Consider the following 24,345-nt stretch of genomic DNA (forward strand, 5'->3'; position numbering starts at 1 on the left):
TTTGAGGGCAGCAACCCAGTTAAAAGAGGAAAGAACCAGATTGGTGTGGTCTTCACACCAGCTAAAGTCCATTTCATTTTCTCTATGTTGTTCTAAGTTTGCTTTCAAGATTACAGGAATATTGCTCAACATGTAACCAATGGGGCATTTGCTTCAGAAGCACCTGGAGATTAATTTTTGAAATTAAATTTATCTGTCTAATAAAAGGAACAATTTCATAATAAAAATACCATCTGCCCCTTATAAAAGAATGATCTTTTTCCTTTAACATGACTCTGATTCTGTTTCCAGCGAACCAAAACTCTGGCCTTGGTGCCTTGGTTTATATTTAAATACCTGACAATTTAACTAATAGTAATGCTATATGTGTTCAGATTACTTTTCTTCTTGGCTCTAGTAGAAAGTTTAGAAAAAAACCTCAATTCACTATGACACACACACACACACACACACATAATTATATTAATAGAGTTATTCTAATTTCTGCTTCTACCCCTGACTTTCCCTCTGTTCCACCTTGGTAACTGTATGTCTTGTATTGGACAGCCTATTCCTAAAACAAGATAGGTAGAATCTTTAGGTTGCAGGAACTACAATGACAGACCAAGAGTGACGGCTTGATGACTTCAGCCAGAGGGAAAACTTTAAACCATTCTGTATCAGAAGCTCCATAGCCATTAATAAAGAAGAGCTATAGTGTGTGCCTAACCCAGAGAGCTGCCAAGTATATTCCAAGGCATTGTAAATACATGGCTACAACAAGATCTCTCTTAAAAACTTAAGTCTCTCGTGGACAATTTTATTCCTTGTGAGCGAAATTGAATAGAGGCAAACTTCAAGACTTAATTTATTTTTTGCCCTAGCTATAAGAATAAACAGACTCTTAGATCCTGAAAGAATCTGACTCAGCTAAGAGGAGGCAAGTCAGCAAGAAGTAACTAAATGGAATAATATCCATTTGACCTCTGCTTCTGCTGCTTTGAATTGTCTGAGAGGAGCTCCATTTTTGAAACTGGCTTTGGCTCAGGACTATCAGACTGTGTAGTGGGTTTTACCGTTTTGATTGACTTATCCATTCCAATACCTGAACACATGATTGTTTTGCTCTTCTACCTGTCGAACCACCCAGTTGCCCTGTGGAATCAATAGCTGATACAGTAAGTTGGTGATGGAGCGTCTAGTAGAGAAAGAGAGGAAATGGCTTGGTAAGTGGGCCATGGAAGAGCTTCATAGCAGTAGTTGTTGACTGTTGGTGACTAAGACAATCTGCTAGGGAACTTGAAAATAATAATAATAATAAGACTCAGATACTGCCTACCTCAATGAGCTGGACTCTGTATTCTTTATCAACTCTCCAAATGATGCAATTCCCACCAAAATGTGAAACTCACTGCCCTATAGGATGGGTGTCAGAAACCAGGGTCTGGAATTAGGCAGATGTAGGTCCAAATTCTTCTCTAAGCCTTCATTTTTAACTTTAGAGTATGGATCTGAGACTACCTACTTCCTTTGGTTGATGTGACATTTTATGAGAAAATGTACATAAAATACTTCTTATTTTTGTAATTGTAATGATTATTCCATTTTTATGGCCTTACAGGTAAGGGAAAACTTTGAATAATTTAAGTATTTGGGAAGTAAGTCCATTTTTTCTCCTATGGTTCTTGATCATAGAACTCAACTTTATAAGTTTCCAAAGTTTTTCCATTGCCACAAACAAGATACTGTGGGGGAAGGAGATGGTGTAGTCTTCATTGTTGCAGGTGGATTGAAAGAAAATCGTATAGGTTAAGTATGTACCTGCTCATGGTTCCATGACTGAGTGAGATTCATAGATTTGGGATTTGAGCCTAGGCCTTGGGACACTGAATCCCGTATCTTTTTCCACTCTGACTCTCTTGCAAGATCTTATGACCCCATACGAACATTTAAAGTCACACTGTCCTAAAGAGGAAGCTAGAGAGTTCCTGGCGTCCTCGTCCCTGCTCATCTGGACACTCTTTATACATTGGATTGAGGTTTATATTGGACTCAGTTCACCTACAACCTCTTCAAAAACTTTTCCTTCTAATTTGACTAGAAAGTCAATTACATAATGGGATATTGCTAAGTGAAAGGAGGTTCTTAAAATAATATTCATGGATCAGGAGCTGACATGGTTAGGGATGCAGAATGTGGCATAATGGTTGACCTTAGGCATGTTACTATTTCTTATAACTCTGTTTTCTCACCTACAAATGGAAATTATGCTAGTAACTACCTACCTGTCAGATTGAACTAGGAATTTAGTCATGGATTAATGCAATTAGAATATTTTTCCTCCTTCTGTTAATTTTTTTTTTTTTCGGTCGACACACAAGAGGATCCAATTCACTGAAACAAAGAAAAAAAAAGTCACTTTTATTTTTATTTCTGAATGTGCCAGCAGTGCCCCGCAAGCAATGACCTTTTCATTTAACTCTGTTTAGGGTTTGATGCCTACTTTACGTCCCGTACACTTGAAAACAACAGAAGAAATGTATGGTTTGCCGAATACTGGGAGGAAAACTTCAACTGCAAGTTGACGATTAGTGGGTCAAAAAAAGAAGACACAGATCGCAAATGCACAGGTAATTTAATTCTCGTTGTCCTTCTCCTATTACTCTACGTGGCTAGCACTGACATGTCTGCATAGCTGACAGAAGGAAGCTTGGCTGGAGACAAATTGAAAAAGTAAATTAAATTTTACTAGATTGTTCAGAAAATGGAACAGGAGCATACGTCTTGCAGGACAAAAGACATACAGACAAGAATGTATTCTTTTCTGCCTATCTAGCAGTAATTGACATTTTCAGTGATTCTTTGAATTCAGAAGGGGTCATGTTGCTTTGAATCCTCTTGTTCAGTTCCAGCCAGGAGTATGAAGTCATTTTCACATAGACAAAATTCTCTGACAAATCCCATGCCATTGTCGGATTTAACTGTTACCATGGACAGTATACTTGATTAAGGAAACAGAGTGATTGGGTTTAGAATAATGAAAATCCAAATGATTTTCATTAATGTCTAAGTTAATGAGTTACCTATTATTTAAAATATTCACGGCTCCTTATATGTAACCTTGTAAATGAAAAATATCTGTGAATAAGTGAGAAGAAAAATCACACATTCATTCATTTATTCACTCACAAATATTTACTGAGTGACTCCTTTCTGCTATGCACTGTGCTAGGCACTGGGGATCTGGTGGTGAGCAAACTAAGTGAGAATCCTCCCTCTATGTTGCCCAGAGTCTGGTGGAAGGAATTTGACTTTATTCCAGTGATCTCACGAACGAATTCATAATTACAAACTGTAATCCATGTTCTGAGTGTTATGAGGGCATATAACTAAGGAAGTTTACTAATGTTGAAGGTAGAAGCTGTCTCAAAAGACCCTTTTGGGAGAATGATGCTTGAGTCAAGATAAAATGAAGAAATGGACATTGGCTGGTTAGGGAAGGAAAATAGGTTGGAGAATTCTGATTAAACACGGTAAATGGCTTGCAGTAGGAGGAGTTTTTGTGTTTCTGAGGTTGTGAAAAACAGAAAAAACATGACTGAAGTACACAGAACAGAGAGAATGTGTGAGCCAAGGCTGCAGGTGTAGAGAGATGGTCCAGAACTAAGTCATTTTAGGATGTACGTGGGACTTGGCTTTTATCCTAAGAGCAGTGGTAACCATGGAAGGGTGTTACACAAGCGGATGACATGATCTACCATCTTATCAACTAGACCTCTTTAAACATCAGCCTTTACAATTTGTAGTGATGACCTTCAGGTATACTAATGTAATAAGGCTAAATGTTTTATATATGATCAAGAAAGACACATTCATGTGGGACACAGTTCTGCCTCTAGTCTCTCTTTGTAATGTAGCTGTTTGAATACCGGTCACCCACATGTTGTAGATTAATCCACTCAACCATCATCTGTTAATCAGGTAATACATGGTATCAGGAACACCATGAAGTCTTTGGGGGTGCTTAAATGTAGTCTCAAGAAGTTTTCTGTGAAAAAGGAGAAATGTACAACATATGACCAGAAACATGAATAACAATAATGATATAAAATAAGTATGATGCATATATTAAAGGTATCATTCAGTCAACTGGACTATCGGATTCACCACATTCTCCAGATCATGCTATATAACAATAGTTCTGAGATATGGTCCCTAGAATAGTGGGGGAAAAGGGAAAATATTAATTTAATATTGACTAGACCTAGGCGACACAAAGCTTTCAAGTGGAAACTGAAAAAAATTAGCTTGACATCTGGATAATTTGTCTCTATGACAGGGTACATTCAAGTGCACCGGAAGTATGTAGATGATTGAAGACAGTTTTCCTGGGTTCTTTCTGACATTTTGTGTTCTGTAGAGTGTCTGGAAGGTGGAATCGGTTGATGGACGTTAGGATTGTCCCACTCTGAGGCCACACCTCTGACTTCTATGAGCTTAAACACAGGCTGTTTTATGTGGAGCCATGCTTCAGGCTGATCATTGAGAATTTGGGCTTATACAAACTAGTAAGGTCATTATGCAAGCCTCTACCTTACAAAAATGGAAATAGAAGTGTTTGTGTCTTCCTAACTAATATGTTTCTTCCATGTGAATATTTATAATCACATTCACTAAATTATAAGTGTACCCAAAATATTCGTATATTCTCACCTTCCTTTTTCCTTCCTCATCACTTTCTTTGTGATGAGCTGTACCATATGGAATGGAGGTAGATACTGTTACCATTACCGTATCTCTTACTCTTCCACCTATTGATATGGTGGTCATATTTTGTTTGTTTTCCTTGTCCTTCCTTTTTCCAAATCCAACCATATGTACATCTTTCTTTGATAGTATTCCAAAAAATACTATTTAAAAAATCTTTACATGTAAGTATACTTCAATTTGGAAGTGAAGAATCAGTGGGAAAGGTAACCTGGTTGCATGCTTTGGTGACTAGATTTTAAAACACTAGAACAGGCATGTTAGAAAGGGCACCCAGATGAGCAGGCTAGCTGAGTAGTCTGACACTGAAGATCTGCGCTGTGAATACAATGAATGTTTTTATCTGAGGACTGTAGAACATAGCCCCCTTCACAGAGCTCTCTCTGTGACTTGGCTCTGCTAAAGAAAAAGGAAGTCTTATTAATATAACATTCACTCTTAAGATGTGAGCACAAATTAAAATGTAGGCCATTTTTTTTTCTTTTGGGCTGGGTAGCCTCCTTAGCCATACTAAACAATATTTGTTATATATTAGCTGCAAGTAGACCAACACTGAATCAGCCATTTGACAAGTTTTAAAGATGAGGGATGAGACCCATACTATTTGGAGAGAGCAAATTACTGAGGTCAGAGTATAGCAATGAGTTCTAAAATCACAAGAAAATGCAAAGTCATGAGAGGAATAATAATTATTGAAAAATATTCATTAAGAAACATGAGATAAGCTGTTCATACTTCATAATTTTACTTGGGGCTAGATGTGCATGAATTCTTATAGAAAATGACCTGAACAACTATGTAATCTTTATTTCTGTAAATTATCCATGTCCACCTAAAGTCTTAAAGAAAGGGATCTTACCGCATTCTTTAGTATTTCAAGAACATTTCCACTTTCCTTGATACCAAATCCCAAGATGTGACAATCTGAGAGCTAGACATTCTTCCTCTTACCTTCCTTCAGAGTAGCCTAATAACCGTTGATATAGATCAGGCATTCGCAGTGAGCCATCCTGCTCATGGGATATATTGGGTGTAATCACTCAGCGTGAAATGCAGTTCAGCAAGTATGTGGTTGTCCAAGCTATCACAGAAAACACAACTTCCATTTGACAGGATTAATGCCATTCATGCTGCTTCATAGAAGAGCTATGTTTTCTCATGGAGACAATGCTAGATATACACATAGTCATCTCTTCTAGAGAGTTTACCACATACCATTTTCATTTGCAGGCAGAAAGATCAGATGTGATTTTTTTCTGCGTTGTATTTATGTTCCCCTACCCACAGCCCACCAGCTGAGTGTGTTCACCCTTGAGACTTGCCAGGATGCTGCTGGCACAAAGACCAGTTTAGAGTATGACCTCTTTGGGAATAATATGTTTCAATGGAGATACTAAGGGTCAATGAAAGAAGGAACATTACACAAATGAAGTGACATCTCTGCAAAAAGAGATTGAGGCCATCTTGGGGTCAGGAACATTATACCACAGTGGTTAAGAAACCATTGGTTTTGGAATCAAAAAGATCTAAGCTTCTGTTCTAAGGACATCCATAACCACACATGCCTGTGAGAGCTTGGATAACATGTTTTTAACCTCTCAAAGCCATTTCTTATTTTTGAAGTGAGAATAGTAAAACCTTACATTCAAAATTGTTGAGTGGATTAAATCAGTTAATTTAAATAAAGGGTCTGAAATTTTACTAGCACATAGTCGTAGCTAACAATGGAAATTTTCTGCTCTTCTGGGCTGAATTCAGTGGCCTGTGAGGAATTCATGAAGATCTTTTTGTCTGTGTCAGTCCTTAGAGATCAGGATGTATATCAACTCCAATCAGAAAACAAGTACGTAAGTATAGACAAGAATTTTTACTGGGGTGCACACTATATAGGGTGATATATTGAGTATCAAAGAGTTTGCAGACAGGCGTCATGCAATGTTATGCTATGAGTGAAACATGAAGCGCAAGGCTTAAGAAATTTCGGTGCTTTAACACAGAGTGTGTGTCCAAGGCCCAATGACATTTGGACACAGAGTGTGTATCCAAGGCCCAGTGACATTTGGACACACACTGTGCATTATAGAGAGCATCATATCCCAAAGTTTTCTCATTTTCTCCTGAGGAGCTGTGTCCTTACATAGCTAATGGCATCCCCAAGAGTGTAACACTCAACATCTCATATCCCAACATTTGCTCATCTTCTTCCGAGAAGCTGTATCCTTACATGTCTAATAGCATCAAATATCTTAGCTCCCAAATGCATTTTTTAAACTCAGAAGGAGGTTCTGAGAACCTGAATATGTTTGCCTATGACTGGGCAACATCTTATGGCTTATCAGTCATAACTCGTGACTTACCCAGAACATTTGTCTAACTAATATCACTGTTCTATGAAATACCACTTGGTGAATACTGATTCATTAGAGTTACCTCCTTGCTGAAAAGCAGGAACTCAGCATTTACAAATCCATCATCTGATGATGGGACAATTTAACATTCAGAGATTTGTTTTTCTTTCGCGATGACAGAAGATGAATAAATTGGTGACATATATTTTTTGTAACAAGCCTTCATATTTCATTGCTAGTGCTTTCAAGTCACACAATAAGCAAATTCAGTTTTGATTTGTGTCCCTAATCAGCCCCTGTTTACTGTGGAAAGATATCAAGGGCTAAAGAGCGTACTCTGATAAATGTCTACATTTTGGAAGGTCAGAATTCTTAAGCTGTGTTTTTCTTTACACCTCACTTCTCAGAGCTAATAGTTTAAGTCCTCTTTTCAGTGGAGCTAACAAAAAGCCTGTTGATAAACGCTGTTAATGAATAAACCATGTATTTCTTAAGTCTTTTATTTTTACCAGGACCCAGGCTCATTAGAGCCTATATAATTCGTTAACAAGACTGTCAAGACAAAGGAATTACGCTTAAAGTCAAGTGCTCAGAATATATGTGCAGAAATAATTGATGATTATACTGATTAGTTTTTTTATACTCACTGTCATTTTATTATTCTATTCTGAATTGACCTTTAATTGTCACAAAGATGTTTTATTGCAGCACCTAATTTACTTAACATGATTGAGGAATCCACAACAAAATGTTATAGATAAATAGTGTCTAACTCTTTGGTACTCTAAGACTTTTTTTGAAACCGTTTTGATGAGAAGCAATGTCAAATGCATTTTTACACCTTTGTGCTTTCTTAAACAGAGGCTTGCCACAGATTAATGATGATTTCATCTCTGTGAGCATGCATAGGATTATGTGTTAATGTGGTTCTTTGTTAAATTTTTGGTTCTCTGACTCATCTCTAAATATCGGAGTCTTGGTTGACATCTCTCTTGCTTCCATCACCCTTAAATCTTCCCCTACCTACCTCTATAAATGGCTTGTTTCTAATTGTGGGAACTGGAAATGTATCAAATTATTAAGAATCTTTGCTGGTTAATTAATTCATTTATTTAAAAATGAATGTTAAATACTAAATCCTTACAGAAAGGCTAAGGTATATAACTTTGAGGATTTAGTAAGGCATTCTCTAGCAACTGTTTGGGTAAGTTTGCTAATAACATTTAGATACATGGAATACCAATTAATATAGGATTCTTCAAGTTAAAATGGTCTGAATGTCACATCTAAAATCCTCATTGTTTTTGGGACACCTCTTTAAATCCTTTTTGGAATGTAAGGTATTGAATAAAAATGCCATGCCCATAAAAGGTAATTATATTTCTAGACTTCAGTTTTTCATGTGTAATTGTTAAAAATAGACTTTAGTGTAACATTAAATCATAGTAAGTGTCATGCTAACTCTATGGGTTTGCTTTTAAGTCACTTAAATATGAAAGTTTATCTTCTTGTATTATTTAAAAATCAATAAATTTTGTAAAGGCATTTAAGAACAAAAATTTAACCTCTTTTCAAGGGAAGCATAGCGCCACCTATGTTAATTGCCAATTATTCCACTGGATAAATCTGACAGAAGATAAGCAAGATGATTAGGCAATGCTTGATTCTGAGGGCAATAATTAGCATAGCCTTCTGTATGGTTGTGTATTGTAATAGGTACAAATCTCAGATCATAAAATTGCTAGTGCAAAAAAATGAACTTTTGGTTGTTTTCTATAACTTCACTTTGTTTTTCAAATCTCCATCCTATTGTTTTGTAGAAATTCAATCTTTTTAAAACCCCTTATCCCACATGGTCCACAGGCCTGGACCTTAGTTACAAAGAGATTTTTTTTTAAAGCCCAGGACTTGAAAATTATTTGTGAGGCTTTGCTCTGATCCTTCGGCGTGCATGATTTTTCACTAGCCATGAATCCATCTTCAGGAATGCACCTTGTCCATTCCTGCCCTTAGTAGTGAAGATGTGAAGGCTACTGCAGCATGGACTCTTGGTCCTGACCTCAGGGCTTCTCCAGGTACAACTGTGGTTTTGATGACTCCAGGTCCTTCCTGTGACCATGGTTGCTGGAGGTTCTAGAGCCTAGGAGCTCTTCAGTTTTTTGTTTTCGTTTTTGTTTTAAAGGAGTAAAATACATTTTTAATACTGTATTTTTAAAAAATAGGGCCAAATCCCAGGCAACATAGCAAGACCCTGTCTCTACAAACAGTAAAAAAAAAAAAAAAAAAAAAAAAATAGCCAGAAGTGGTGACACACATCTGTGGTCCCAGCTGCTTACATTGGGAGGCTGAGGTGGGAGGATCACTTGAGCCCAGGTAGTTGAGGCTGCAGTGAGCTGTGATCATGCCACTGCACTCTAGCCTAGGTGACAGAGTGAGACCTTGCCTCAAACACTCAAAAAACAGGGCCATAGCAGTAAACTTTTGCTCAGTGTTCTATCCCTTTAGATCAGGGCAGTGAACTTTTCCTCTCAAGGGCAGGTAGTAAATATTTTAGGCATTATGGGTCAGGCTGTTTCTGACACAACTACTCTGTTCCCATAACACAAGGCAACCACAATATATGTAAACAAATGGACAATAAACAAATGATCCCTTGCTTTAGACCAGCGTTGACCAATGGAACCTTTTACAATGACGGACATATTTTATTTTCTGACTACTGAGCATTTGAAACATGACTAATGCAACTAAGGAGCTGACTTTTAAAATTATTTAAAACGTAAACAGCCACATGTGCCTAGTGGCAACTGTACTGACCGGCTCTGCAGAGCCTAGGAGCTCTTCAGGAGCTTATACCAGCATTTAACTTTTACATATCCCGTTAGTTTCTCCCTTCTCATCTGTCACTCCTGAATGTCTTGATTACAGGCTGGGCGAGGAGACTAATTTAGATCCATTCATATCCTTCCATTATTTTTTGTATATGGCATATGTTTCATGTCCTTAATACTTCAGTATTTTTGAAGCACAGAGCCAAGTACTGACCATATAACACTGGCTTTTAGAACACAAAGGTCAGTCCTTTATTTATTATTATTATTTTCTTTTTTACTTCCATTGTTCTTCTGTGTTTTATTATAACCATCCTTCCCAAAAGCAATGAAGAAGAGTTCTGAAACTACCATGGTTAGAAAATAAATGGTGGAGAGGAAATAAAAGGCACATTTGTTGATATATTAATATGTTAGAATATTACCATATGACACTAACCGAAGTACAAGCAAAGTAGATGGATGGCAACCCAGATCTTTGATTTTACTCACAAACCTCATTTTCCCAAATCTTGACCAGATGCCCAAGTGGAGGCTGAATATCTTCAGCCTTATGAAATAGAGGTGTATAGATGGACCCTGCAGTAAATAAATTTTTCCTTCAGCCACCAACTCTTCAAAGCATAAAAAGGGGTCTCTACTGAATGCCATTTTAATTCAGAGCACACTCCCTCAGTTTTTTTCCTACCATACAGCACTTTAAGTCACCCATAGCAACTGTGTTTAATTCTGTGCAGAAGCAAGCCAAACAGTGAAACACCAACTTGAAATCCCGGGAGTATTCAGGCAAAGCTCTTTCCATAAATGCTAGAAGCCATAATTATTTGAGCTGTGTGTCATTTCTTTCTCATTAACTCCAACAGGCAACGTCTTTAAAATTGGGAGTTATGGCCTTTCCATATTCAGAAAGTCTGTCAGGCTTGCCTGTTAATGAGAAGGAATTCCTGAACTAGGGAAATTAATTCATATGCATCTTCTCAGCAACAATTCTCGTAAACAAAGTGCCCTTATAAGCAATAGAAGTATTATAAATCGGATGCTTAGAGTCATTTTAGTAGGTAGAAGAAAGGGTTGTGGAATGACTTATCAAGTATCATCAAGCAAGTTACAGTAGAATATAGCCTTCCTTAGAAGAGTTTCTAGTAATAGAGGCTTTCTGCCCCCCACCCCCACCCACCAAAGAGAAATATGGATACAAAAAGCATTTTAGGTTTTTATGGGATGTATAGCATCATATTTATTTTTCTACAGAATAAAATGTGATCACAAAATAAATATCAACTATATATATATCTCCAGATAAAAACTTTCTAGAGCTATTCTAACTTTGTCCCCCTGATTCTGTGAAGAGGAGATCCAGGTATGTGGGCGAACACATATGGAGGCTGCTAATTTTTTCATTCTCATCTTTAAATAGTATTTATTGTTTACCATCCTGGGCACTGAAAGCTGGGTGCTGGCTTTAAGTACAGCCTCACTGCTGTAGAAACACAATATTCAAGCTGCCTGCTTCAGTCTCACTAATTTGTTCATAAAAGAAGTTAAGACTTGAGTCAGATTCCCTGGGTTTGAATCCCAGCTGTTTCTGTTACTGTGTCACCATGGGCAAGTTACTCAGACATTCCCAACGGCCTTTCCCATCCCCTCATCTGTAAAGGAGGGATAACAACAGTCCCTACTATATGGGCTCATTCACAAGAATTAAATAGAGCAATACCTGGTAGGGATAGAGGGCGCTCAACCGGTTTAGGTGCCATTGTTGTGGTTGTCTTTGTTGATAGTGGTGATTGATCCTACTTTTGGCCTTCGTTTAAAACCAAAAAAAAAAGGAAAAAGAAAAAAGAAAAGTCAGGGCTCCTCCATGACTTAAGTAGCCCATCTTTCCTTTATTTTCATATAAAGCATTATTCTTCCTTTACCTTAAATACCTGTTGCCTTATATCATGCTAGGCACATAACAAAAACTTGTATGTGTTTACGTTATTCTAGTTGATCCCCATATCAGCCTTGTGAGATAGTCAGGGTAAGTAATGCCCTGTTTTTACAGGTTAATACAAAAGACCAGAACCTTGGAGACACTTTGTGACTTCTCTGAGAGTATAGCTACCAACGAGAAAAATTTAATAATCTCAACAACTAAGTACATACACTCATTTAATCATGTACTCTGTCACTCATTTAATTACTCAACAAGTGAATGACAAGTGAGCTGCACTGGGCCAGTTTCTGTGCTGAGCCAGAGAACACAGGCAAGGTCTTTGCTTTCAGGGAGCTTTTATTCCAGTACAGGAGGCAGAAAGAAAACCAAAAGCAGATATGGAAAATAATTACAAGTTGTGATTAGTGCTGTGAAAGAAACAAGTAAGACGCTGAGCTAGAAAATAACAGTAGACAATTTTTCCAGGAATGTGTAGTCAGCAGAGATGATCACAACAGCCCTGACTGTCCATGAGAGGTTATTATTTCCATTATACACGTGATGAAATTGTGGTTCAGATGGATCAACCCAATGGTACATAGAGCTTATTTCTCCCTATGCTGTTTCTCCTCTCATGCCTAGTTGCCTCCCAAGACCCTTGGAAAACTGAACACAAATAGATACTTTCTCATTTTTCGGTAACTTCGTAGTTTTGCTTCTATAGCAATTTCCTCAGTCTGTGACACCCAGGCACATAAGGGCTCGTAGTAGAACATGTTTGATAATGATCCTGGATTGATCCCTTTTGGTCCGCACTGATAAACAGCTGTAGTGGAGAAGTGAGCTGACCTTGTTTCTTTTCTCCTTTCTTGAAATTAAAATAGGGCAGTATTTTCCAGTTTATGTTCAAACTTTGTTATAATGATAAAAAGCTAGCAGTCTGTACAAAGAGAAAAGACAGAGCTCAAACTCCTTGTTCAGAGGCAGCATAGTTACACAAGAGGGAATTGTAGCCCTGACTATAAAATTCTCTCTGAATATATCTCATTTGCTTGGGACCTTCTGTCCATTTAGGGTAGGCCAAACACAAGTCGGCAGCCTTGTTAAAGCAGATGGTGGAGACTGAAATAGTGTGAAACCAAGGTGGTACAAAATAATACCTTTAAGAAACTCAAAGGACTTTTGGAGTAGCAGTTGTAAATTGAGCTACCAAAGTGGTCCAACACACTGGCAGAAGTGGGCAATTTACTATGGAAGGAAAATGTTGGATTACAAGATGCTATTGCTTTTTTATTAGAGAAAAAATGCAATGGTTACACACAGGTTCTGGTCAAGTTTATAATAAATAGTTACATTTTAAAATTAAATTTAAAAAAATACAAAAAAGAATACAAAGAAAAAGATGCCAAGAACCAAGCTGAAATGGTTCTCCTTTTGTGCTGAAGTGTACAGAAATCACTATGACAAGTAGTTATTGGACTTCTAATGTCTGCCTGTGTGGCTGTTAACATGACTATAAATCACGCTTCCAGCACCGAGTATATATCAATAGATTCTTTCTTTCCTTGGATGAGTTTTGAGATTGCCAAATAAGTGTTACTGAGCTTTAAGAGGCACTAAAAGTATAGATTGGTGCTATTTTTAACATGTAAAACTAATTCCTCAACATTTAAGACATTTCAGTGGCCATATCATACGTTCTTTCTTTCTTTCTTTCTTTTTCTTTTTCTTTTTTTTTTGAGATGGAGTTTTGCTCTTGTTTCCCAGGCTGGAATGCAATGGTGCGATCTCGGCTCACCACAACCTCTGTCTCCCGGGTTCAAGTGATTCTCTTGCCTCAGCCTCCCGAGTAGCTGGGATTACAGGCATGCGCCACCACGCCCTGCTAATTTTGTATTTTTAGTAGAGACAGGGTTTCTCTATGTTGGTCAGGTTTCTACAAGACTAAAACCTCAGCATGGTCTGTAGGGCACCTGGTAGCAAGGCCCTATCTCATACTCCTGGGACTCTGATGTTCTAGTTCTCTAGAGGTGTCTGCATTTTTCTTGCCACAGGGCCTTTGTATATGCTGTTTCTCTGCCTGGATTTTTTTTTTCCCCCAATACAACTTTTGACAATCACTCACTCTTCACATCTCAGTGTCACCTCTTTAAGGGAGTCTCCACTGAAGCTCCCATCACGATCTAGGGCAGGTTCTTTACTGTCTGCTCTGCCACCTTCCTGTCCTTCTGAGAGACACTTGCCTGTTTGTGACACTGTGCTCCTCAGTGTGCATATGAGGTGAATGTCTCTCTCGTACTTGGCTTCAAGCTCCATAAAACCAGCTGCTCACATATCTGTGGATCCCCATCTTCACATCCCCAGCCCTAGGCCAGTATCAGGCTTACAGTAGGAGTTTAACAAGTAGTTGTTGAGGAACTACTTGTTTTGGAACTACAAGTGGTTGTTGAGAAACTACTAATTTTACTTTCCAGGCTTAAAACCAAAAATCTGCTTTGCATAAAACATTTCAATGCAATTGATCAGATTGGAGGAGAAGAAGGAGATGATTTGTGCTTGTGTTTCCCTAAAGGTGCTCAGCTTGCTGCACTTAGAACACTGAAGCAGCATCTTTTGCTGGAAGACTATCCTGGGCAAATGGATTGAATCAGAGACTTTGTAGGATCTTTTGGGCTGCATGTGATAAATGTTTCAGAAGCCCATTATGTTGTTTTCCACAAGACACAAAAGGAAATTAGCAACATCTGCATATATTTGAATTGACAAGTGTTCCCACTTTAAGGAAAAATGTGAAAATCCCAAAATTCAATAAACTGTAATATATTAGCCATTTGTTCTTTAAAATGAATTGACAGGAATAGAGAACTAAGAAATGTATTGGTCTCTCAGCTTTGACCACATCTTCTCTGCATTGATCATTGTTACGTTCAGTGCTCTTATGTTATGCTCTTATGCTCTTATGTTATGAAGAATTATTGCATTTTATGTGTTATGAAGAAGAAATTGCATAAAGGGTTAAAACCCTAATAGTAAAAATAATAAAATAACCCATGCTTACTGGGTACTTTCTTAAATGATGATGTCTCTTCCTGCAAATACCTATTCCTGTAGGTGAATACAAATCGAAATAAATAAAAATTTTTATATTTTTGGAAGTTTTACACTGAAGATTTTAATTTTGTCCATCTTTTTAAAAAGTACAGTAAGCAATATTTGTTGAACACTTTGCTATGCATTGGTCACTCACTTGAGCACTTTGCACAGATGATAGTGATCTTCAAAAGTCCCACTTTTATCCACCAGTTTTAGTTGAGAAAGGTAAAACCCCAATTGATCTTTTTTACTCCCCTCTGAGATCATTTTTGCTATTTTATAAGTGAGTAAATGGAAGCGCAGGAAGACATAGCAATCTGCACAAGGTCACACAGCACAAAATGGCAGCTCAGGGTCAGCGAGGTTAATGACATGACAGGCTCATGGTCAGTCGCTGATTAGAAAATGGCAGAGCCAGAATCCAAAACAAGGTCTGGCAGACTTCAAAACCTTATGTTTCTTTTTGTTTCTTTTGTTCCAAACTGTCCACCTGGGTTGAGACCCCTCATAGGGAAAATGATGTGCAAAACATTTAGGACCCAGCACCAGCCACTACAGAAGCAAAGAAAAGATACGGAGTGACCTATATGTCTGTAGGCTTCTGTGTTTTGGGACAGAAAACACGGGTTTCTGAAAGGAGCTTATACCATTGTTTCTAAAAGGAGCTCATTACTCTAGGCTTTGTGCTTTTTTGAGTTGGTCCACCAAGGAGTGTGTCTCTGCCATTCAATGACTAGTTATTTTGTTATCCAAGTGTAGGGAAAGAATGTGGGCAAAGAAAAGACTGTCCTTGAAAAAGAGCTTTCACTTCTCTGGTGGAGAAAATTTGCAGAGGTCGTAAATCTGGGAGAGTGCCTAACTGTGGCTCAACTTTTTTTCTCCTGGGACAGCCTGTTTGATTGTTCACCTGCTTTTAATGTTCTTGTGATTTCAACACAATAGTGTGTGTTCTTTCATTAAAATGGTGAATGAGATCTCATTCACTCTGTACTATTAATGAGTGCTTACTCTTGAAAAGTGTACATTCATGAGTGCTTACTCATGAAAAGAAAGAACTGCTCATGATATCACTTGGGTTGTGGTCCTGGTCTTGTCACTCATGGGAAGATGTTTGCCTACCATTTATAGTCCTGTGTGGTCCTTAACAGCCACACAGTCAGACATAAGGTGTCCAATAACTACTTGTCCTAATGATTTCTATACACTTCAGCACAAAAGGGGAGAACTTACAATGCTAGCACAGGCAGAACCCCCAATTCTGGTAATTCTGTGACCCCAGAATAATAATAAGAAATTCAGGTACCTTTAAACTGTATTTTTTATCTTATGAAACATACACACTATATCTGTTGTTAATTTTCTTCATTAAAATATTATATGATAAGCCAGTGACTTCGTATCCTATCGTTTGCAGAAATTTCACTAAAATTATTTATGAAGTTTGCAGGTATGTTTAAAACACATCAGGACATAACTCAGTAGCTCTTGCTTCTTCTTTTTGAGGGGAATTGCTTTCTTGGGATGCATTTCTAGAAGTTGTTAAATGGAGTAGTAAAGAACAAAGACTTGGAAACTAAGTTGCCTTAAATCAATTTCAATTCCTGCCTCATTAGCTATGAAGCCTGACACAAGTGACTTTGCATCTCTGTGCCTGTTTTCTAATTTCTAAAATGTTGACGATAATAATAATGATGATAGAGTTTTGTTTTTTTTTGTTTTGTTTTATGTTTTAAGGAGAAGCACTAAATGAGTTACTACATGTAAAGTGCTTAGTCCAATGCCTGACATAGGAAGCCTGTGGTAAATGACAATAAAATGCACATTACCTATTTTTATCATTACTGATTCAGAGTACAAACATTTTTGGACAATTGAAATATATTGCTAAGCCGTTTTCTGAAAGCACTCTACTAATTTATTCAGCCATTGGCAAAACTACTAAAATGTTATCTCTATTTTGATTTGTATTTCTTGGAAAACTTGCAAGGTTGAATATTTTTCCATATGTTTGGGTATAGATTTATCTTTTTTATGAGATGCACTTGAGAGTCTTCAAATTGTTTTTAATACCCCTGTGTCATTTGATCCTCCCTACAACTCAGTAGAGTTGGCAGAGCTGGTAATATTTACAATCGACTACAAAGAAAGATAAAAGTAAAGTTCTCGGAGGTTTGTTAAGTGGCTTGCCGAAAAGTCACTTGGCTAGCATCTGGCAGCACTGGAATTTGAACCAAAGTATTTTACTCTACTCTTGTAAATAATAAACAATTATACATAGAAGTGGCATCTCCCTGGCATTAAAGAGTTAACACAATTTAAAAATAAAACATAAGCAATGCCTAATTTTTCCTTGTAAAAAGTTTAAACCCTTAGGGAAATACGATTTAAACATCTTATAAGCTGTTTCCTTTAGCTCATTTAGAAACCACAAAAGAAAAATTATGCTCTAACTGGCTCCTTAAAATATGTATTAAATGGCACAGAATTAGCTGCAGTTTACAACTTGGAAGTAGTGAGATGGGCATGGTGGTGCATGCCTGTAGTTCCAGCTACTCAGAGGCTGAGACAGGATTACTTTGAGCCCAGAAATTCAAGGCCAGCATGGATACTATAGAGAGACCTTATCTCAAATAAATAAGTAAATATAAAATTAAAAATGAAAAACTACTTGGAAGTAGTTGTGATCTTATAAAGTATAATTTAATGGTTGCAGCCTATAGAATCTTTTTTGAATAAATAAGTAGATTTTGGCCATATTCCTGTGGCCTTCTGAACTTCTGTGTTCTTCCAGTGGAAAATTGAGGTCACCTGGGATGTTCAGCTTCTAAGATGTTTGGCAAGGAGAGCTGTTAGATTTCATACAATGGGCCAGTAGGCATACAAGAAAAATGTTCATTGTTGTAATTCACCAGAGAAATCCAAATTAAACCACAATGAAATTCTACTACACAGACATAAAATGAAAAATATAGATAACATCTAACATCAGAGAAGATATGGAGGAGCCAGCACTTTATGCGTCGCTGTTAGAATGTAAATGCTATAAGTACTTTAGAACACTTCTTTAGAAGTTAGGCACATACCGATCTGTGCTATACAGCTCTACTCCTAAGCATTTATCCAAGAGAAATGAAAACATATGTCTACAAAACTCTTGTGCAGAAATGTTCACATCGGCTTATTCATAATAGCCCAGTTGGGGGGACAGTCCTCCATTGGCCTCTCTTGTTTCTGCTTATTTTGCAAATAGAAGCACTGATTATCTTTTCGAGATGTTTCTGTAGCAAATAGTCTCAGAAGATACAGATAGGGTATCCCTATGGAGTATAGGGAAGTTTGCTTACTAACAAATATAATAAAGATAATATCCTCTCTGGAGCAAAGGTCAAATAGGCTTGCTTAAAGTCCTTTATAAAAGATTTGAGTTTCTGAAGCCCAGAGTTTGACTGATGTAACACAGACCCATTATGCCTTCTGCATCCACCTAGACCACTCTGCATTACCCCCACTGGACTTGAGGGAGTTGTGGGGAGGGGCCCAGTGCGAACATAATGACTGTGCTTGTTGCCGTGCTTGGCTCTGAACCAGGGGTTCCACATCTTCAGCCGGCACTCATGAAACTATGTCGGGCTAACTTGACACACGTACCCCAAACTGGAAATCACCCAGATGTGCATCAAAAAGAAAGTGAATTATCAAACTCTAGTCTGTACAATCAGTAGAATAATATCTATCATTTAAAAAAAGAATGGATTGTTGATATATGCAACAAAATGAATAAATCTCAAAAATTTTTGTCTGAGTGAAAGAATCCAGACCCCCAACCTACATATTGTATGATCCTATTTATTTGAAAGTCTTGAATAGACAAAACTAATTTATAGTGCTAGATAACAAAGCAATAGTTCCTTCTTAGTGGGGGGAGATTTCTGGGGGATGAAATATTCTTCATATTGATATGTATTTGTCAAAACTGATTAAACAGTTCACTTCTGAACGGCATACGCTGTATGCAGAATGTACTTCTATTAAAAATATTCACACATTGGACTGAGAGCCAAACAGCTGGAGTTCGGTAACTTGACTAGCCACTTGTTATCTGTATAACTTTGGGTAAGTTATTTAAATCAAGTCTCAGTTTTCTTGCCCATAAAGGGTCAATAATAGTAATAGCAAACACCTCATTGGATGGTTATTTCATTAAGTGAGATAATGAATGTAACGTGGTGAGGACAGTTTTGGGAGTGTAGAAAACATTGCATGAATGTGAACTGTTGTTCACCGCAGTACACTCTATGAATATTGGACAACCTGAATTTGGTAGTTATGGGAGTACCAACAGATGTATGTGGAGCAATATGTAGACTCCGTTGTAGAGAAATAAATATGCATTCAAATGCTAACTATTAAGGTTTAAATACCTAGCAGGATGTTTTTTTATTTTTCTTTAGTCCTGAGAAGAAGCCTGATGGGCCATAAAGTTAGGTTAGGGGACTGACTTGACTTTGAGCAGTGTGGCTTCCCAGATACTCCAAAGGGCCCCGAACAAGCTACAAGGTAGAGTTGCTAAATCTGAGACTCAAGCATGAAGCTGGAACTGCTTTGGGAGAAATAAAGTAGCAGCAGGTGGGTTTTGCCTTCTGGATTCCAGCAGGAATTATTTTCAAGAAAAGAATGTCTTCTTTAGGCCTGAGTCAAAAATTTTAAATTAAAATTAATCAACCCTTATTACCTGATAATTAAAGCTGATAAAACGCAAAGAAAACACTAGGAGTGAACGCCAGTGTAAACAAACATAATATATGTAAGTAAACCAAGGCATCTAGTTGTTTTTGTTTGTTTGTTTTGGAAACCGATTCTTGCTCTGTTGCCCAGGCTGGAGTGCAGTGGCACAATCTTGGCTCACTGCAACCTCTGCCTCCTGGGTTCAAGTGATTCTCCTGCCTCAGCCTCCCGAGTAGCTGGGACTACAGGCATGTGCCACCACGCCCTGCTAACTTTTTGTATTTTTAGTAGAGATGAGGTTTTACCATGTTAGCCAGGCTGGTCTCAAACTCCTAACCTCAGGCAATCTTCCCGCCTGTGCCTCCCAAAGTGCTAGGATTACAGATGTGAGCCACCATGCCCAGCCGGGCATCTAGTTTAAAAAAAAAAAAAATAGAAATAATAGATTTAGAATAAAACCATGCATGAAATAGATGAATAAATGTGGAATCCTACCAATGTGTTCTATCAAACGAAGGCTATCAAAAATGATAAAACACTGAATGGATGGGTTAAAAAAGATTAGACACAGTCAAAGAGAGAATGCTTGAACTGGAACATATATCTGAAAGAAAATGCAGCACAGGACAATAAAGGACAGCAAATATGGAAGTGTATGGAGGATAAGGGAGTTAATGCAACACTAATCAGCCCTGGATCCCAGAAGTGAATAATGAGAATGGAAAAGAAGGAATTTATAAACAGATAATGACTGAAGAATTTTCACAACTGAAGAAAGACAATAATCCATAGATCAAGGAAAGCCAGACTATGCCAACCAGAATTAAAAAATAAAGAAGGAAAGTAGAGAGGAAGGAAGAAACCTTCTATGGACACAATAATGGTGAAAATGCATGACTCTGAAGACAAAGAGAATATTTTATTATGGCCAGGTGGCAGTCTCATCTTCCAGTTCACTGGAATCATTTTTATGTAGCCTGGTTCAAACATTCTTATCTTGAGAATCAAGAAGTCTACATAAGCAGAGATCAAAGGTGCACCCATGGAAAACATTGTGTTTGCACATGAGTTATTTGGCATAATAGTGATGCACGTGTTTACACTTCCATTCCTTCCCAGAGCTCCGTGTTCTTTCTGATGGAGAAACAGCACTATATATTGGTTCCTGTTAAAAGCACATACCACCTCTTGTGGGATGTTGTCCCCACTTTGCAATGTGTTGTCTACTAGCTGGCACAATAACTGAGTCTTCAGTAAGCTATCCTGTCATTTTTGTTAGGCCAGGTAGAAGGGTATGTGGTGAGACAGACCAGTGAATCCTGTCATATCGCCTTACTTTGTTTCAGTATAAAGGTTATATGGTGAAAAATAATGTGAATGATGTCATGAAAGTGATTGAAGCATAAGTAATTCTATAGGTCATGATCCAAGTATCTTTTCCAATCTCTTCTGCTGAGCAGTTTTCTTCCAGGACTATTCTTGATAAAAGATATCCATGCCAAATTCATTGACACAACTAAAATATATTCCCTAAGGAATGTTGAATATCTGTAGAAGGCTTACAAAAAATGGGATTGAAAATAGAATTTTGTCTGTATTGTGATAAAAATGCTCTCATCCTGTCTCATCTGTGAATTCTTTAGTACACACCCAAATGAGAGAAGCAGCAGTTTTATTTCAATTGCATCCAATCTCTATACCAATATGGAGAAAATGGACATCTTAATATTGGAGACTTTAAATTCATCAACATCATATACCTCTCTGTTTATTTAAATCTTTGATTTCTCTCTTGTTTTCTTATTTCATTATATAGATTGTGTATATATTTTTGTTAAATTCAACCCTAAGTTTTTCATGTTGTCATGTCATTGTAAAAATAGTATCATCGTAATTCTTTTTCGATTGTTAACGCTACCATTACTGAAATAGAATTAACTCTGTATGTAGACCTTGAATATTATAAATTTTCAATGTTTATTACTTATAGTAGCTCATTTGTAGATTTCTTAGAATTTTTATATAGATGATCACATCATCTGACACAGTGCTTTCTTATTTCAGTGCATTTTGTCTTGCTTTATTGCACTGATGAGGACTTCCTAATACAATATTGAGTAGAAGTAATAATGGGAGTACCTTACTTTGTTCCCAATCATAACGTAAATCAGTCTGGCATCGGTGAATATGATCACAGCTGTAGAGATTTTGCAAATGTTTATAGACTTTCTGTATAATGTTGAAGGAGTTTCTTTCCATTTTCTTTGCTGAGTTTTGTTATGGGTGAATGTGTCAAATGGATGAATGTGTCAAAGGATATGTTTGTATCTGTTGAGATGATAATACTATTTTTATTTTTTAGTTGATATCACAAAGTATATTGATTCATTTTCAAATATTAAGTTTGCAGTCCTAGGATAAACCATACCTGATCATGATGTATCTATTTTTTATATAATGCTACATTTCATTGGATAATATTTTGCTAAGGAATATTATACCTATTTTTAATCATGAGTATTGGTTTATAGTTTTCTTCTCTGGTAGTGTCTTTTTCTGGCATTGGTATCAGATTAATGCTGGACACAAAAAAATGAGTTAGAAAATGTCCCCACCTCTTCTACTCTCTGAAAGAGTTCATGCATATTTTAGTAATGTTATATATTCTTAAAATATTTAGTAGAATTCACAAAGATAATCATCTGAGCCTGGACTTTACTTTCTGGGGAGATTTTCGAATGTATATTCAATTTATTTAACATATACAAGGACATTCAGAGTATATATTAGTTCTTAAGTGAGCTTTGTAGTTTATATCTCTTAAATTTTTTTTCATTTTACCTAAATTAATTTATTGGCAAGCAAAAACTTGTTCATAATGTTTCTTATTATTTATTTAGTGTCTGTTGCATCTGTAGTGATGAGGTTTCCTTCATTCTCTATATTTTCTTTTTTTTTTTGGGCGGGGGACAGTGTCTCACTTTGTTGCCTTGGCTGGAGTACAGTGCCTTGATCTCGGCTCACTGTGGCCTTGACTTCCAGGGCTCAAGCAATTCTCCCACCTTAGCCTCCCTGGTAGCTAGGACTACAGGTGTGTGCCACCACCCCTGGGTAGTTTTTTTATATTTTTAGTAGAGACGGGTTTTCACAGGCTGATCTCAAACACCTGAGCTCAAGAGATCCACCCACCGTGGCCTCCCAAAGTGCTGGGATTACAGGTATGAGCCATTGTGCCCAGCTATGCCTTCTATTTTCTTTCTTTACTTCTTGATTAGTTTGTCCTAGAGATTTATCAATTTTTTGTTTTGTTTTTAGAGATGGAGTTTCACTCTTGTCACCCAGGCTGGAGTACAATGGCACGATCTCAGCTCGCTGCAACCTCAGCCTCCCGGCTCCAAGAAATTCTCCTGCCTCAGCCTACCGAGTAGCTAGGATTACAGGCCCTTGCCACCACATCCGGCTAGTTTTTTTTTTTTTTTTTTTTTTTTTTGAGACAGAGTCTCGCTCTCTCCCCCAGGCTGGAGTGCAGTGGCACGATCTTGGCTCACTGCAAGATCTGCCTGCCGGGTTCATGCCATTCTCTTTCCTCAGCCTCTGGAGTAGCTGGGACTACAGGCGCCCGCCACCACACCCATCTTTTTTTTTTTTTTTTTTTTTTTTGTATTTTTAGTAAAGATGGGGTTTTGCCATGTTAGCCAGGATGGTCTCCATCTCCTGACCTTGTGATCCACCCACCTCGGCTTCTTAAAGTGCTGGGATTACAGGCGTGAGCCACCAGGCCCAGCCATGCCCGACTAATTTTTGTATTTTTAGTAGAGACGAAGTTTCACCATGTTGGCCAGGCTGGTCTCAAACTCCTGAGCTCAGGTGATCCACCTGCCTTGGCCTCCCAAAGTGCCGGGATTACAGGCGTGAGCCACTGCATCTGGCCTTATCAATTTTATTAACCTTATAAAAATAACCTTTGTTTTCTTTCTTGTCTGTGTTGTTTTCTATTTCATCTATTTCTACTGTTGTCTTTATATCCCTCTTTCTGGTAACTTTTTGTTTATAGTTTTTTTCTTCTTCTTTTCCAGGTTGTTAAGAACAGGCTTAGATTAGGGTTCAGCAGACTTTTTCTGAACTAGATAATAAACAGTTTAGGATTAGGGTCACATACAGTCTTTGTCTTACCTTCTTTTCTTTTTCTTCTATTTTTTAACCATATTGTTTAAAATTTAAAAGCCATTCTTAGTTTGTAGGACATAGAAAAACATGTCGTGGGCCATACTTTGTCTACCTCTGGCTTAGCTCATTGATTTGCAGCCTTCATTTTTTCATTATATAACAACTAATGCTACAAATTTTCCTGTTTTCATTATCAAAAGATACGGGATGTGGCTAAAGCAACTCTGAATTCTGTCATGCTCCTCTGAATATTGTGCTGTTTTCTAGAAGACAGTTACCTACAATCAAACTGCAAACTTGCCTCTCCTGCAGTCTACAGCTACTTATATATCTCTCCAACTCTTGCCATTTCACACTTCTGCTTTTTTCAGCCTGGACTTCTCTGGCCCTCCCCTGTGCCTATGAACTTTGCAGTCAGTCAAGTATTTGGGCACACATGGGGCTCACCTTCTGTGTTGTTTCCTTGCTTGCAGAAATACCCCTTATTTCCAGTTTCTCTGTTGACTTTGGAATCTAT

At 37.5% G+C, this 24,345-nt stretch overlaps 1 protein-coding gene across 7 annotated transcripts in view; it reads left to right on the plus strand.

Annotated features, from left to right (window-relative positions):
• GRM7 (glutamate metabotropic receptor 7) overlaps positions 1–24,345 on the plus strand; it is an 880,419-nt gene that overhangs the window by 551,440 nt on the left and 304,634 nt on the right. For all 7 annotated transcript variants that reach the window (XR_001740135.3, NM_181874.3, NM_000844.4 and 4 more), the window contains exon 5: positions 2,469–2,609. Coding sequence is in view for 6 of the 7 variants with exons in the window: in NM_181874.3 (NP_870989.1) it covers positions 2,469–2,609 (141 nt within the window). In the remaining variant the exon portion in view is untranslated. The remainder of the gene's footprint in view (positions 1–2,468; positions 2,610–24,345) is intronic.

Source organism: Homo sapiens, chromosome 3, assembly GCF_000001405.40.
Source record: "Homo sapiens chromosome 3, GRCh38.p14 Primary Assembly".
Classification (NCBI taxonomy): domain Eukaryota; kingdom Metazoa; phylum Chordata; class Mammalia; order Primates; family Hominidae; genus Homo; species Homo sapiens.